General features: G+C 42.1%; 1 protein-coding gene across 11 annotated transcripts in view, besides 2 other annotated features; it reads left to right on the top strand.

Annotated features, from left to right (window-relative positions):
- Positions 1 to 17016, top strand: part of PRDM10 (PR/SET domain 10) — a 103125-nt gene that overhangs the window by 31550 nt on the left and 54559 nt on the right. For 9 of the 11 annotated variants that reach the window (NM_001367892.1, NM_001367894.1, NM_001367890.1 and 6 more), the window contains exons 2-4: positions 10204 to 10390; positions 13376 to 13540; positions 15715 to 15774. In NM_001367892.1, coding sequence (NP_001354821.1) covers positions 10322 to 10390; positions 13376 to 13540; positions 15715 to 15774 — 294 coding nt within the window. In that variant the 5' untranslated portion in view covers positions 10204 to 10321. Of the gene's footprint in view, positions 1 to 10203; positions 10391 to 13375; positions 13541 to 15255; positions 15282 to 15714; positions 15775 to 17016 lie in introns of those variants that run through there. The other 2 variants (NM_001367891.1, NM_001367895.1) reach the window with 2 other exon arrangements.
- Positions 4698 to 4992: an enhancer, noted in NCBI's record as "tiled region #3666; K562 Activating DNase unmatched - State 8:EnhW". NCBI's record gives its function as "activates a minimal TATA promoter and a strong SV40 promoter by Sharpr-MPRA in K562 cells {active_cell/tissue: K562}" and the evidence as "EXISTENCE:reporter gene assay evidence [ECO:0000049][PMID:27701403]".
- Positions 5866 to 6066: a silencer, noted in NCBI's record as "peak1509 fragment used in MPRA reporter construct". NCBI's record gives its function as "represses an SCP1 promoter by STARR-seq MPRAs in K562 erythroleukemia cells {active_cell/tissue: K562}" and the evidence as "EXISTENCE:reporter gene assay evidence [ECO:0000049][PMID:32103011]".

Here is a 17016-nt window from a genome sequence, read left to right as displayed (position 1 = left end):
GCAGGCTGCCCGAGCTAGCGGTGGCAACTCGCTCGGGTCCCCTTCCACACCGTGGGAGCTTTGTTCTTTTGCTCTTTGCAATATATTTTGCTACTGCTCTTTCTGGGTTCACACTGCTTTTAAGAGCTGTAACACTCACCGCGAAGGTTTGCAGCTTCACTCCTGAACCAGCGAGACCATGAACCCACCAGAAGGAAGAAACTCCAAACACATCTGAACATCAGAAGGAACAAACTCCAGACGTGCCACCTTAAGAGCTGTAACACTCATCGCGAGGGTACGTGGCTTCATTCTTGAAGTCAGTGAGACCCAGAACCCACCAATTTCGGACACAATTTTAGTCAGCTTTAGGATGTGACAAGTGAACAACTGGCAAAAAAGTTGGTGGAAAACTTTGGACTACCTAATCTTGCTTCATTTAACACTTAAAAAAGAAGGGGGGTCGGGTGCCGTGATTCATGCCTGTAATCCCAGCAACTTGGGAGGCCAGGGTGGGTGGATCACCTGACGTCAGGAGTTCGAGACCAACCTGGCCAACATCGTGAAACCCCGTCTCTACTAAAAATACAAAAAGTTACCCAGGCATGGTGGTGGACACCTATAATCCCAGCTACTCAGGAGGCTGAGGCAGGAGAGTCCCCTAAACCCAAGAGGCGGAGGTTGCAGTGAGCTGAGATCGTGCCACTGCACTCCATCCTGGGCAACAAGCGAAACTCCATCTCGAGAAAAAAAAAAAAAAAGGTTGGGTATGATTGTTACATGGTTCATTAGTGGAGTCATTTATACTGGAATCATCATGCAGGGTCCAGTGTTCTTAGTTTGTGGGAAGAGAAGCAGTGTAGATTTGTGGCTGAGCATGTGGGCTAGGCGGCCTCGTGCCCAGGTTACATTGTAGCTCCTCTGCTTCCTAGCTCTGTTACCCAGGCAAAGTCGCTTCGCCTCTTTCTGTCTCCATCCATCACTTGTAAAGTAGAGATATAATGTGCCTACTTCAGAAGTTATTGTGAGGATTAAATGAACCAATATGTGTGGTTAGTGTAACGTCCTCAAGATTCCTCCCTGTTGAAGCATGTGCCAGAGTTCCCTTCCTTTTTAGGGAACATGCCTGGTTCATAACAAATGCTATTATAACATAACATGTCAGCTATTAATATTTCATGGTGCTATGTCTTCAGGGTCCTTGTCATCTGAACATATTTCAGAACTGTGGGCCTAGAATTTCTCTTCTAATTCTGAAATTAGTTCCGTTATTCTATGCCATAGAATTTGATTTCCTATTATCTTTCTTCCTCTTTTTTATAACTCAGTATCTTAAGATGTGTTTTCTCTATACACAGAGTAAAATCACTTACTTTTTTAGTTACCAGGTAGAATCTAATCTTAAGTATGAGTTTAGAAGGTGTGTTTTCTGTTTCTTGACATACAGGTGTTTTGTGTTATGCACAATTTACCATTGTATTGTTTTTGTTTTTGTTTTTTGAGACAGGGTCTCACTCTGTCACCCAGGCTGGAGTGTGGTGGCACAATCTCAGCTCACTGCAACCTCTGCCTTCCGGGTTCAAGTGATTCTTGTGTCTCAGCCTCCTGGGTAGCTGGGATTACAGGCACGCACCACCACGCCCGGCTAATTTTTTTTTTTTTTTTTTGTATTTCTAGTAGAGATGGGGTTTCACTATGTTGGCCAGGCTGGTCTCGAACTACTCTCCTCAAGTGATCCGCCCACCTTGGCCTCCCAAAGTGCTGGGATTACAGGCATGAGCCACTGTGCCAGGCCTTCCTATTTGTTAAATATCTAATATTCTTAGTTCTTTATCTTTATATATGAAGAAGGTGGAGCTCAGAGAGATTAAGCAAATTGCCAAAAGCTGTAAGTGGTAAATCCAAGCTTTGGAGCTAGGCTGTCTGATTCCAAAGACGACTCTAATACAAATATGTGCAAATCCAGCCCAAGGCCTGTAGTATTTATGGTAACTCACTTAAACCAAGCCCAAGTATCATTTCTTTAAATGGAGACTAATTGCTATATAAATATTCCTGAAGAATACTCTTTTTATGCTTGGGTCAGCAAAAATCATCATATAGCTAGTGTATATTCGTTGAAAGAAAGGTGAAATATTAAATTTTTAAAAATGAGCAATTGCTTGTGTATCAGGCCAGAGTCTCTGGGTCAGCTAAGCCTTTTCCCCTAGAGGAAGCTTCCTGTCTGAACATATGTTTTTGCTAGCTGTGCAGCGGGGGAGTGTGTGGCAGGAGAGTGCCCAGCACCTTGCCAGCCTCCTGGCATCTGCTATTTACACCCTACCCAGCCTTTTTTGCTGCCTTGAGGTTTTTCCACTGCCAGGCAGCACAGAGCTGGCTGCTGTGTTAATTTTTTTGATGTTGTTATGATTTGATTTTTTGCACTCATCGTTTGCTATGTTTCTATATTGCAGTGTCGATGGGTGCATCAGCAGATATTGCTTAATTTTTGCCACATTTTACCCCAGCAGGGGGATGGTGAGTGGGTAGGGCTGTGGGGTGAACGGCACAATGGGAACTCAGGGCTCCTAGGAGGGCAGGCGATGGTGGAGGCTGGCACACTAGGCTCCTGAGTCCTACGTCCTGGGGGGTTCTGGATGTTGGCTTTAGCTGAGAAGGGCTTAGTGATGTTAGGAATGAGGCTGGTGGGTAGTGAGGGGGTAGGATTGCGGGGTGGGTGGCGGGAGCTCAGGGTAATATCAGAGAGAGAACAACAGAAAAATTCTGCTTCCACCACCCCCTCTCTTCTGTGGAACCTGGTCCCCGTCTGTCTGGGCTGTTCCCTGGTCCCATCCACAACCCCCTCCCCAGACTGGCACTCACCCTCCTCCGTTTTTGTCCTCAGTTTTTATGTTCATCTTGCAGGCTCATCAGTCTCCCTATAACTTCTTTCCATAGCATGTCTAGAGTTGGATTTCAGGGAGAGAGCCCACAGTTTGTGCTAGTTAGTTCATAATGAGCCGGAAAAGTTTATTTGTAAGTGCATTGTCTGGAATGTGGTACACTTCTTTCCATATCAATAATGACGTGTCTGGCATTTGAGGTGCGAGGCCAGTACAGAAACCTTTGTTGCTTCTTAATGTGTCTGAGGTTAATAATGTACCAACAGTGCTGTGGAACTTAACCACTGTGTGTCACAACATTTTAAGTGAAATTGTGTTTGTAGTTCAGCCTGGGATTCCAGGTACTCATCTACCTTTGAAGCTGAATCTGGGCCTCTTCCTCCACCTCTGTGTGCAGCTGATGAAGGCAGGAGCTCCTGCATCCTAAGTCCCTGGGAGTTCTGGATGTTGGGTTTAGCTGAGAAGGGCTTAGTGATGTTGTCGGGGAGGCTGGTGGATGGTGAGTGGGTAGGGCTGTGGGGTGAAGGGCATGATGGGAACTCAGGACTCCTAGGAGGGCAGGTGATGGTGGAGGCTGGCACACTGGGATACTCCATTGTCTGGCGCCTGCCCAGCCTTATCGCTGAACTAGCTGGAAAAGTAGGGGTTTATCCTTCCTTCCTAATTCCCCTCACTCTTCATCACTGTCACTCTCACCCTGCAAGTGTCGCCATGGGGTGAGCTGCAAAGTGGGGTGTCATCTCTCCAACTAGATTGTGAGTTCTCTGGGAGCAGAGATTTTTGCTCACCTTTTTCTCCCCAGTGCTTGCCATGTACTAAAAAATGTGTTTGATGTTCACCAAGCATGAAAAAAATTGCTACCCTTTCTTGAATGTTCATCGTTGTTATGTGATCACAAATATTGCCATATTTTATTGAGCCTAAGATGTTGATGGTAAGATACACAGTGATTTTACACATTAGTAAGAAAGAAAAAATCTTGCCAATTGTACTTCTGACACAAGTGGGTTTTTTTGTTTATTTTTTTGTTTTTTGAGATGGAGTCTCACTCTGTCACCCATGCTGGAGTGCAGTGGCGCAACCTCAGCTCACTGCAACCTCCGCCTCTCTGGTTCAAGCAGTTCTCCTGCCTCAGCCTCCTGAGTAGCTGGGATTACAGGTGCATGCCACCACGCCAGCTAATTTTTGTATTTTTTTTAGTAGAGATGGGGTTTCACCATGTTGGCCAGGCTGGTCTCGAACTCCTGACCTCGTGATCCACCCACCTCGGCCTCCCAAAGTGTTGGGATTACAGGCATGAGCCACCGCGCCCGGCTTCACAAGTGCTTTCTGTCATTTAGTATTTTAATTATATACTTATTGAAAGAGCTCTTCTAGATTCGTTTAGACATTGATTTTTATCATATCACTCTTTGGCATACAAAAGAGGGAAAATATAAAGAGAAATAGATTGACTAAGATATTCCTAAAATTTCTCCAAGAGTCTGATTCTTCAGAATCTTTTTGGACTCGGAGTTCTTCATGTGGGTGGTTTTCCACACAGTATCATTCTCTATGCCACCAAGAGCGTTGTTGATGTGGCGTTTCTTAACAGAGGGCACACCACTGTCTCCAGGAATCTCCTCTAAGCATCTATTACCTGTTCTGCAAATTTTAATCCTGCTGTTTTCTCACTCAACCTCAGGCCATTTTTTCCCCGTGAATCTCAGTAATAACAACACATCATGCAGCTTCATCCACATGGGCTGTCTTTTATACCCAGGTTCTGTAAGGGCCTCGGTTGGTTAAGGTCATTTTTCCAATGGTAGATATTTGCTTCTCTAATAAAATTTATGCCCTGCTACTGTTCCCATGTCTTTCGGTTTTAATACCAAGTTATCGTGTCATCTTTTTGAAGACATTTAAAGTGGCAGTTAGGCTCAGTATGTCAACAGTGCACATGACTCATTCGAAGTGAGATCACACATGAGTGGGCAGTGACCCTATGTCCTGACTGCCACCTGGATGACAGTAACTGCAAGATGCCACTGATTGTAAAATAGATCCCTATTTCAGAAATGTTAAAACATGGGGGGAACGTACTTTGTAGACTCGATGAAATACATAACATGTAGTTAATTTTTACAGCAACCATGCAGGGCAGGTAATTTGGATTTTTTATTTGTTTGTTTGTTTGTTTTGAGATGGAGTCTCCCTCTTGTTGCCTAGGCTGGAGTGCAGTGACTCGATCTTGGCTCACTGCAACATTCACCTCCCAGGTTCAGGCGATTCTCCCGCCTCAGCCTCCCGAGCAGCTGGGACTACAGGCACACGCCACCAAGCCTGGCTAATTTTTGTATTTTTAGTAGAGATGGGGTTTCACCATGTTGCCCAGGCTGGTCTCGAACTCCTGACCTCAAGTGATCTGCCCGCCTCAGCCTCTCAAAGTGCTGGGATTACAGGTATGAGCCACTGTGCCCGGCTGGTAATTTGGATTTTTAAGTGAGGATACTGAGGATCAGAGTGTTTGGCTTACTAACGCCCCAACTAAGTACATGGAAGATTTGGGAGCTCAGAACCCAGATTTGTCTGATTGTAAAGTTCACACTTTAGATACTGTACAATGCTGTTCAGGAAAAAAACAACTAGACTAGAAGCTGCAAGAAGCCAGGGATCTTTTTTTTTGTATATATATATTTTTTTTTTTGATAAACATGTTTCTTAAGGACCTAGAACAGTGCCTGGCACATACCAAGTACTAATAAATACTTGTTGAATAAAGTCAATCATTAGAGAGAAAATAGAAATGCAACCATATCATTCTCTTCCTGGAAATGAAATCTCTAACTCTTTTGGGACAGGGGGAAAAGGACAGAAGATGGCTGCTGTTTTCTAGACAAGGTATAGCTGTGGCTGTCCATTCCCTCAGGTCGGTAGGAGACGCAAGAAGATGAGGGGTGAGAGTCTATCCCTGGTTACCAGAGCTGTCAGCACCTGCCAGCTGGACAGCAGTAACATGGCTCCTGCCCCTGGGATTCTTCTACTGTCTCCTGTAAATCAAAATCAACAGGGCTGTAAACATTGTGGAGTTAAAAAGAAAATTAATAAAGGAAAATCAATATGACAAGCCTTACTATCAAAGATATTCATGTACAGGGAATGTATTGTTAGATTTCTTTTCTTTCTTTCCGTTTTTTTTTTCTTTGAGACAGGGTCTTGCTGTGTCGCCCAGGCTGGAGTGCAGTGGCACGATCTGGGTTCTCTGCAACCTCTTCCTTTTGCGTTCAAGCAACTCCTGTCTTGCTGATAAAATCCTCAGCCTCCTGACTTGCTGACAAATCCTCAGGCTGACCTCAGGCTGATCTGCCCGCTGCGGCCTCTCAAAGTGCTGGGATTACAGGCGTGAGCCACCTCGCCCAGCCAAATTGTTAGATTTTTAAAGAGTATAAAATGTTTTGAAAATTCTGAAGCTCTGTATGGCTCGTTTGTGAAATATGAAAATTGATATATTTAATCACCTACTATGTACTAGACCTTGTGCCTAGAGTTGTTACATACATCATTTCACCCTCACAATAAAATTATCTCCATTTTACATATGATAGATAATCACTTTAACTGCGCTAGTATCTTCCCTCAGAGATTCCAAAAAATGTGGGATACTAACACATAAAATGCAAGATACATTGTAAAGCAATGTATGTCCAAAAGTTCTCATCATAGTGTCACATGTAATTGCAAAATATTAGAAATAACCTAAGCGTTTATGAATGCAAGATTAAAAATATGCAGCTGTAATGAAGAATGAGGAATGTCTGTATATATATGGAACAATATGAAAGGTATGATATTACATGGGACAAACAAGATATAGAAGAAATGCTACCTTGTATGGAATCAGTAGTGTGCATCTATTTGTGGTTGGAGAGGGAGAGAGTATATATGTATGCTTGTGTGTATGCACACAAAATAATTTTTGGAAGAAAATACAATAAATTGATAATATAGGTTGCTTCTGAGGAACGGCTAGGGCATTCCAGGTAGGGAGATTGTCCACTGTATACCTTTTTGTGCCTTTTGAATTTTGAGCCAGCTGCATTTACTACCTATTAAAAGAGATACAAATAAAATTAAAATAGAAGAAATAAAGTATACCTTTCTAGAAATGAAAACAAAGACAAAAAGACTCTCTGGGCTGTGTGTGTTTTGTGAGGGCATGGGCTGTACCTGCCGATCCCCGCAGCACCCCAGTGCCTAGCATAGTACACGCCTGCGCATTTGTGCCATCAGTGAGCCAAGCTGAAGGAAACAAGCCACTCAAATTCCTCTATCGGAAGGACACCACATCTCTTCTGTGGTGTCTCTGCTAAAAATACATATCCTGAATCTAACCATGAAGAAACATCAGACAAACTTAAATTGAGGAGCATTCTGAAAAATAAATGACCTGTGCATTTCACAAATGTCAAGGTCATGGCAGACCAAGAAAGAGCAGGGAACCGTTTGGGATTGAAGGAGACTGAAGGGCAGGACAGCTGAGCGTGCTGTGTGCAGTACCGGATTGCATCCCAGGCCAGGAGAAAAAATGTCGTATTCTTTTTAAAGGACATTCATTAGAGTTGACAAAACTTGAATAAGGTCTGTGAATTAGGTAATATTACTGTTACCGTGTTAACAGCCTCATTTTGATAGTAGTACTGTGGTTATAAGAAAATCTTCTTGTTTTTAAGAATTAGGCACTTAGGAATTTAGGGGGAAAGGGGCATTGTGTTGGCAACTTACTCTCAAATGGTTCAAGTGAGAAAAGGGAGGGAAAGAAAGAGAAAGAGGGGAAATAGTAAAGTAAACATGGTACAATGTTAACATGCAGGGAACTGGAGTGAAGAAACACAGGAATTCTTTGTACTATTTTGACAACTTTTATGTCTGAAGTTATTTCAAAATAAACAACTTTAAAAAAAAAGTTTCCTACATGGAACATGTTATGACTTCTTCTCTTCTCTTCTCTTCTCTTCTCTTCTCTTCTCTTCTCTTCTCTTCTCTTCTCTTCTCTTCTCTTCTCTCTTTTTTCTTTCAGCAGGGTCTCTCTGTGTTGCCCTGGCTAACCTTGAACTGGGCTCAAGGGATCCTCCCCCTCAGCCTCTTGAGTAGCTGGGACCACAGGTGTGTGCCACCACGCCGGGCTCTGATTTTGTAATTACTGAGCCTTTTATGTCCTTTTGTACAATTTTGTAGTTTTCTTCTTACAGATCTTTAGATGATTGGTGACATTTATTCCTTTCATTTTTTTTTTTTTTGAGATAGAGTCTCACTCTGTGACCCATGCAGGAGTATAGTGGTGTGATCTAGGCTCACTGTAACCTCCGCCTCCCAGACTCAAGCGATCCTTCCACCTCAGACTCCCAAGAAGCTGGGACCACAGGTGCACACCACCACACCTGGCTAATTTTTGTATTTTTTGTAGAGATGGGGTTTCACCATGTTACCCAGGCTAGTCTTGCACTCCTGGCCTCAAGTGATATGTCGTCCTTGTCCTCCCAAAGTGCTGGGATTACAGGTGTGAACCACTGCACCCAGCCTATTCCTTTCTTAATACCTTTTGTTTCTTTAAATAATGGCTTTGTTGAGATATAGTTTATATACCATAGGAAACTCACCCTGAATATCTTTGTATATATTTTTAAATAGTACTGCTATATAAGGAAGGTATGCTTTAAAAAAAATCAACTTTATTAGGGTATAATTTAAATGTAATAAAATTCACATATCTTAATAGGTTGATAGCTTTTGACACACATATTCCTTATGTAACCACCACCTCAATTCAGATGCAAGATACAGGATATTCCCATTTCTCCATGAAGTTCCCTTGTGTTCCTTTCTTCTTACATTCACCTGTTGGTGGACGTGGCATTCTTTCAAGTCCCCCCCAAATGGGGATTGGAAGAGTAGGGCGCATGCAGGGTGAATAAGTGTGGTGGGGGGTGCTGCAGCTTGGGGATGAGAATGATAATGTTGAGGCAAAGCAGGAACAGGCACCTGGATGGCTCAGAAGATGGACATGGCATCCTCTCTTTTCCAGAGTTGGGCACAGACTTTCGAAGTTCACGTACCTTCTCTTTCTTTCTTCTTTGGTCTTTATTCTGGCATTGTGGCTGCTGCCCTGTTCACACAGCAAATGTCAAGTGGACTTTTAAAATACCAACATTTTATCATCATCAAAAGGGAAGACTGACTACCTTAAAAAGCCTGTTTTGGGAAGGAATAAGATTTTGAGATGCAGGTATTGTGCATGTTAAAGTTTAGTAAGGCTTTTTATTTGGCCGCTAATCACTCCAACACTGACCATGTGAGAAAAAAAGTTTGTATTTGCATTCACCAAATTTTTTACGCAGAAAATGTAGCTCCCTCCACTTGCCGCCTTCCTCTCATCTTGAGACTTATTATTCTGCTGTTCATTTTGAGTAAAGGTGGTATGGGAAGTTAGTGTCTACAAGGAAAGAGCCTGCATTTGGCATCTGAGAAACTCATTCTCCTCACGACAACTAATTTTAATTAGAACTAATATTTTTAATGAGGATTGCATTAGACAAACATGCACACATTTATGTATACACAAATATATATGCAAAATATATAATTTTATAAGATATTATATATACACACACCCACCCCCAGTGAGTGTTTAGAACATAGCAAGCATGCAATACATTATATTATTATTTTTTTAAAATTTCTTTTTCTTAAATAGAGATGGGGTCTCACCGTGTTAACCAGGCTGGTCTCAAACTCCTGGCCTCAGGTGATCCTTCCATCTTGGCCTCCCAAAGAGCTGGGATTGGCCGGGTGTGGTGGCTCATGCCTGTAATCCCAGCGCTTTGGGAGACCAAGGCAGGTGGATCACTTGAGCTCAGGAGTTTGAGACCAGCCTGGCCAACATGGTGAAAACACATCTCTACTAAAAATATAAAAAATTAGCTGGGCATGGTTGCTCGTGCCCGTAGTCCCAGCTACTCAGGAGGCTGAGGCAGGAGAATCGCTTAAACCTAGGAGGCGGAGGTTGCAGTGAGCCTAGATTGTGCCACTGCACTCCAGCCTGGGCAACAGAGCGAGACTCCATCTCAAAAACAAAAACAACTCCCCTCACCCCCCCAAAAAAACCCCAAAGAGCTGCGATTACAGGTGTGAGTCACTGTACCTGGCCTATACTATTATTACAAATAATGTCTTCATTTTTACATTTTTTTGCCCAGGCGTGTTGCTTTTTGACAAAGCTTTCTTTTATTATTTGTGGTTGAAATTATAATATATTAAAATGTATTTATCTACTGAAAGTCTTGGTTCCTTTTCTGTGTTTTCTCAGGCATGCTGCAGACAGACCTTTCCGTCCTTCATGAACACACGTGTGGTAGACAGATGACTGTCCTGTACCCTGTGCTGCTCTAGGTGTGCCAGACGTGGAGCTGTCCAGTTGGGAGAAGATGGATTCCAAAGATGAAAGCTCGCATGTGTGGCCGACATCTGCAGAGCATGAACAGAATGCCGCACAGGTGAAGACTGGTCTTTTCCAGCTTGGTATTGAGAGGTTTTCAGCTGGACTCAGTTTGCTGACAGCAAAGAAATACAGCTGCTATCTAGTAGTGACTAGTCGTTAGGAGCCGACATGAAGAACTCGTACACAAGGAATAGGGACTGTTTTGGCCCCTTGAATGCTCCATCGATGTGGCTCACCGTGAGTTAGGAGAGCTAGACCACCAGCTATAGGCTTCTCCGCCTTGTCTGCAATTTACTGTCATAATCTGTTTTACTACCCCGCTTTATTTATGTTATTGCTGCTGAAAACCTCAAACTATAGTTTGTTTCTTTTACGTTATCCATAGTAGTTTGGTCCTTTGTGTGTAATGAGTACAGGTATGTCTATAAAGTGAGTGGCCTTTTCTTTTCTTTTTAAATTCAGAATGTAAACCTCTAAGTCAAAGTTGTTCCATTATGAGTCAGCCACTTTAGAGGTTAGTCACTTGACCAAATGCTGCTGTCATCGATGACCTTTGCCTTTCAGATTGCTGCTAGAACCAACCACATGTTATTTTGGCTGTTCTTAGCGAAGGCAAATCTCTGCATTTTTGGTATGGAATTGAATTTGGGATGATTAGCAGTCATATGGAGCCATGTTTTATGTGTGACCAAAGTATAAAACTTAATTTTTAAACATTGTAGTAAACATACACGTGTAATGTTTCATTAAATTACATAACCATAGTACCAGTATCAAAATCAAGAAGTTACATTGAAACATTTAAGTATGCAGATTCTATTTAATTTAAGCAATATAATAAATATACAATAAATAAAATTGGTTATCTGGTATGATTAAAAAGTCTCAGTATGGACCAAATATGGTGGTTCATGCCATTCCCAGCAGTTTGGGAGGGCAAGGCAGGAGGCTCGATTCAGTCCAGGAGTTTAGGACCAGCCTGGGCAACAAAGTGAGGCCCTGACTCTACCAAAAAAAAAAAAAAAGAAAAATTAGCCGGACATGGTGGTGCATGCCTATAGTGGTGCGGTCATGTCTCTAGGAGGTGGAGGCTGCAGTGAACCATGACTGCACCACTACACTCTAGCCTGGGTGACAGAATGAGACCCTGTCACTAAAAATAAAAATAAATAAAGTCTTAGTCTGATTACTTAAAAAAGTTCCACTGATGTTTCAGCAGAGTATATGAGAATTCTGTTTTGTTTCTCCTGGAAATCATTTTGAGGTCATTTCCATGCAGCTATGTATTTTGGTATATCTTATTTATAAATAAAATTGTAGTTCATTAAAAAGCAAAACAAAAGAAAATCTGGTTGTGACACTGCATGACCAGGGCCCTGTCTGTGGGTAACCAGATAGTAGATAGCCAAGGTCAGGGTCCCTGTGGCACTCCTTCCTCCCAACTGGTTCTTCCGCCAGCTGGGAATTCTGATTTAATGAATGATGAAGACCAAGCAGAAAAGCTTGGATAGCTTGTCTGGAGGAAACATGTTTTCCCTTCTTAAGCACTGAAACTAGTTCAAGGCTTTGATGTTAATGAACAAATCGAAAGTCACAAAATTGTCTTATAGCAATTAAGCCTGCTTAAATATGAGCCTAATTTTTCCAATAGACAAACTTTATCTTCCAGACAAATCAAATTTATGTAGAAGCCAGACTAATCATTTCGTGTAGAGGTGGAAGTTTGTTGTATTTCTGTGGTGTTTGATTACATTTTGTCTCTTAGGTTTCCTTCTGGGGATTAAATTAGTTTATATTATCTTGGGGATCTACTATCCTTCACTAGAGAAAACTGACATTAAAAAGTTAGGTCCAAAGCCAAGGCAGTATAAGAGCAAGGATTCCACCCTAAGAGTGCGTGACTTCGATAGCAACACATACATTATTTCTCTCCCAAATGTGTTCTTGGGCCATCTGCTTCCAGACCTTCAATATCAGGCATCAGGCCATGTGCCAAGCTCAGGCCTTCAAGAATTCAATCCTCCAAAGCTGACCACTCAGAAAGTGTTTTACAAAACTTCATTTCTGCTTTAGTTCTTTAGGTCTTGGGAGAAAATTATTTACCCTGGTGACAGCTGAAATAGTTGTCCAGAACCCCCTAAAAGTACTTTATTAGAATTTTCTGTGTCTTCACCTACCCGGCAAGGAAGAGTTCTATTCCATTCATTGATTCAGCAAGCATTTACTGATATGCCTCCAGTATGTCCTTTGTGTATGAAACAACTTGCAGGAAAGAAAGTGACCTGATTTTATTTTATTTTATTTTTGAGATGGAGTTTCACTCTTCTCACCCAGGCTGGAGTGCAACGGTGCGATCTCGGCTCACTGCAACCTCTGCCTCCCAGGTTCAAGCAATTCTCCTGTCTCAGCCTCCTGAGTAGCTGGGATTACAGGCGCCCCCCACCATGCCCAGCTAATTTTTGTATTTTTTTAGTAGAGACAGGGTTTCACCATGTTGGCCAGGCTGGTCCTGAACTCCTGACCTCAGGTAATCCACCTGCCTCGGCCTCCCAAAGTGCTGGGATTACAGGTGTGAACCACCACGCCTAGCCAAAAGTGACCTTATTTTAATGTGTCTGCTGAAAGACACTATTAGTTATAAAATAGAATTCTTATGATGTGTTGACAGCAATTGGCTTTTGAGTCTTGACGTATTTTTTCACACCACAGAGTAATTTGTATGTTTTATTCTGATAGTGTTGTCAGGCAGGAATCTTCAGTGTCGTTTCCAGGATCAATTAACCACGCCCTTATTACTCCCCAAAAGAGTTATCTGCATTGGCCATTTGAGGCAAAGGGGAATTTAAGTCGGTTGCCTAACATTTAGCAGTAAATCAATGACAAGGTCCTTGCATCCTCCCCTAGTCACCACCTCGGTGTAGACAAAGGTGTATCCATCCCCATTCTCCTGTCATTGGGGATCTTTTAGAAACCCAGGTGTGCTTGTTGATCACTTACCTTCCTGATACTGATTTTGTTCTTTGTCTCCTGTTTATGCCAGGTGCACTTTGTTCCGGACACAGGAACAGTGGCTCAGATTGTCTATACCGATGACCAGGTTCGCCCCCCACAGCAGGTGGTGTACACGGCAGATGGTGCCTCCTACACATCAGTGGATGGTCCAGAGCACACGCTGGTGTACATCCACCCGGTGGAAGCTGCACAGGCATGTGAAGGGTTATCTGTTGATAATTTGTCAATTAACTAATTAACCAATTACTTGTGTTTACTTTCTGTCAGTCATTGTGCTAGGTACTGGTGATGCAGTACGTATTCAGATAAGATCTGTGCTCTCAGCCAGGCGCGGTGGCTCATGCCTGTAATCCCAGCACTTTGGGAGGCCGAGGCAGGTGGATCATGAGGTCAGGAGTTCAAGACCAGCCTGGCCAAGAGGGTGAAACCCTGTCTCTACTAAAAATACAAAAAAGTAGCTGGGCGTGGTGGTGGGCACCTGTAATCCCAGCTACGTGGGAGGCTGAGGCAGAGAATTGCTTGAACCTGGGAGGCGGAGGTTGCAGTGAGCCGAGATCGCGCCACTGCACTCCAGCCTGGGTGACAGAGCAAAACTCTGTCTCAAAAAAAAAGATCTGTGCTCTCAAGGAGCTTGTAACCAACTTGGCAGAGGAAGATGTGATTTATTTCTTGACGCTAAATGCAATAAGGAGTTAGAGCATGGGTTCGTATATAGCTCTTCTCTACAGTTGACTAGGTTATGAATTTATTATTCCTAAGTATCAAGAACCAGGCCAAAAATGGCTCTGTGAAAACATACAGATTATTTCAGCTAAATATGTAAGAAAGGGTCCTGCTAAGCTTATTAGCTACCACTTCTTAATAACTTACTGATTTGCAAGGCTGTACTAGAAGCAAAGATGTTTACTGCCAAAAGGCGTACAATTATAGCTGCTTTTATTTTATTTTTTGCCAGTGACTTGCAGTATAGCTTCCAAATGAGTGACACCAATATCCCCCAACATATAAATGTTAATTTACATTGTTAGCACTTTACAATGTATAAAGTACTTTGAAATGTATATCTTTAACATCTAAATTCCATACTTTTATAGTAGCATCTTGGTAAGAAAAATTTGCCCTCATTTGATATTCAATAAAGAGGCTCAGATCACTCCCAAATAGAAATGAGGCCCGCCTAATTAGTGCCTTTCAAATCTACATAAGTATGAAATCACTGAAGACTTAGTGGTACTTTTGGAATACCCCTGCCTATATTAAAATAAGATTAGTTTATATAAGAATGTCCTGTGACCAACTTTCAGTTTATTACAATGTTACTAAATGTCTGAATTTGGATAATTTTTATTTTGTTTACTTATTTTTTATTTTTTTTGAGACAGAGTCTTGCTCTGTCTCCTAGGCTGGAATGCAGTGGCACAATCTCAGCTCACTGCAACCTCTACCTCCCGGGTTCAAGTGATTCTCCTGTCTCAGCCTCCCAAGCAACTGGGATTACAGGCACCCACCACCACAACAAGCTAATTTTCGTATTTTTAGTAGAGATGGTGTTTTGCCATGTTGGCCAGGTCTCGATCTCCTGACCTCAGGTGATCCGCCTGCCTTGGCCTCCCAAAGTGCTGGGATTACAGGCGTGAGTCACCGCGCCCAGCCAGATTTTTAAAAACTTTAGAAGAAAGGACATTTTGACATTTTTCTGGATTAGAGATATTAACTGTGGTGCCCTGGCTACAGTAGTTTCGAAGAATTTTCTCTAGTTAGCTTTGCTGCATCATGAGCCAACTTAGTTTATGATGATTAATTTTTTTTTTTAATTATGACTTTACTGACTATGTAGAAAAGAACTCATGGAACATTAAGTTCAATTTATTTTCCTTCTACTTCTCTTCTGATAATAAACATGCACTTACATTTGAAATAGCTGTAATCCTTGGGTATGTAATCCTCTTCTAGATGCCTGTCTATCTCCATCCATTTTCATTTCATCACAAGTCTACTCCCGTGAGCAGTGTTATGTGTGAACCTGTGAACCCTTGTTCATGTCATGTCTCTTGTGTTTTCATGAGATGCCTTTTTAATTAACTGTGACATTCAGTCCCAAGAAAGGCTTTGCTTACGAGTAAAATTGCGAAGTATGTTAGCCATTGGGATGGTTAGCTTATACAATCTCTTTGGAGCCATGTGAATGAAAAGCTTTAGCTAAATTTAAGATTACTATCTTTATTTTCTGTATTAATGAAAGCTTATTACTGGCTAAAATGGGAGTTAACTTTTCTAAAAATTGGTGCTTAGCAGTAGGATAATTTTTCTGTGTAGGCAGGCTATCCAAAGAGCTACTGATAATTTTTTGTTCGTTTGTTTGTTTAGACTCTGTTTACAGACCCCGGCCAGGTAGCTTATGTCCAACAGGATGCTACAGCTCAGCAGGTAACGAACTGCCTTTTTCTTGTTTGGGGATAACACTGTGAATGCCACTGCGCCTGGAATGCCCCATCCCTTTGCACTGCACCATCTCTGGATGTTTGTTTCTCATGTACTAAGAATGTTCTCCAGCTCCTTTAATGAAAACAAAGCAAAATGCAACATAATATTAACATATTTCAATAAGTATATACTGGAATAATCTGATAATAGAAAGTGATTTGTCAGAGAAATTTTTTAAAATAAGCATATAAACAGGGTATTTGTTCAAGTACCAAAGAATAATCATGAGGTTTAAAAGTGTCTCTTTTTTTGGAAATTGATATAGCTTTTGTACTTGCTCTATTTTTAAATACTGAAAAAAAATTCTTGCTTAAATTACATATAAATTTGGTTCCAATTTTCCTCATGCCAGCTTCTAAAAATTTGAGTTCTTCTTGGTTTTCTTTTAAAACATTTCTTTCCCATTACCTTCATTTCTGATATATCCTACTTGGCTTTGATGACTTCCTCCTTATTTCCTGCAAGAATGTGAAAGTGATAAAGAAGGTGTGGAAGCAGCTGGGCACAGAGGCTCATGCCTATAATCCCAGCACTTTGGGAGGCTGAGGTGGGAGAATCGTTTGAGACCAGACTGGGCAATATAGTGAGACCCCATCTCTGCAAAAAATTTAAAAATTAGCCAGGTGTGGTGGTGCACACCTGTGGTTCCAGCTACTTGGGAGGCTAAGGTGGGAGGATCCCTTAAACTCAGATGTTCAAGGCTGCAGTGAGCTTTGATTGCACTACTGCACTCCAGCCTGGGTGGCAGAGTAAGGCCCTGTCTCAAAAATAAATAAACAAAAACCAAATAGGTTTACTTTCATGTCAGGTAGTGTGACTGTAATTTGTCTATATTACTGAGTGCCATGACTGATTAATAATTAAATTATTCTCATTAAGAAGCACTTTCTGGCCAGGCATGATGGCTCACACGTGTAATCCCAGCACTTTCAGAGGCTGAGGTGGGCGGATCAATTGAGGTCAGGAGTTCGAGACCAGCCTGGCCAACATGGTGAAACCCTGTCTCTACTAAAAATACAAAAAACTTAGCCAGGCATGGTGGCGGGTGCCTGTAATCCCAGTTACTTGGGAGCCTGAGGCACAAGAATCACTTCAACCTGGGAGGTGGAGGTTGCAGTGAGCCAAGATTGTGCCACTGCACTCCAGCCTGGGTGATAGAGCAAGACTCCATCTCAAAAAAAAAAA

This window comes from Homo sapiens, chromosome 11 (genome assembly GCF_000001405.40).
Source record: "Homo sapiens chromosome 11, GRCh38.p14 Primary Assembly".
Classification (NCBI taxonomy): domain Eukaryota; kingdom Metazoa; phylum Chordata; class Mammalia; order Primates; family Hominidae; genus Homo; species Homo sapiens.
This window is presented reverse-complemented; position numbering and strand designations above follow the sequence as displayed.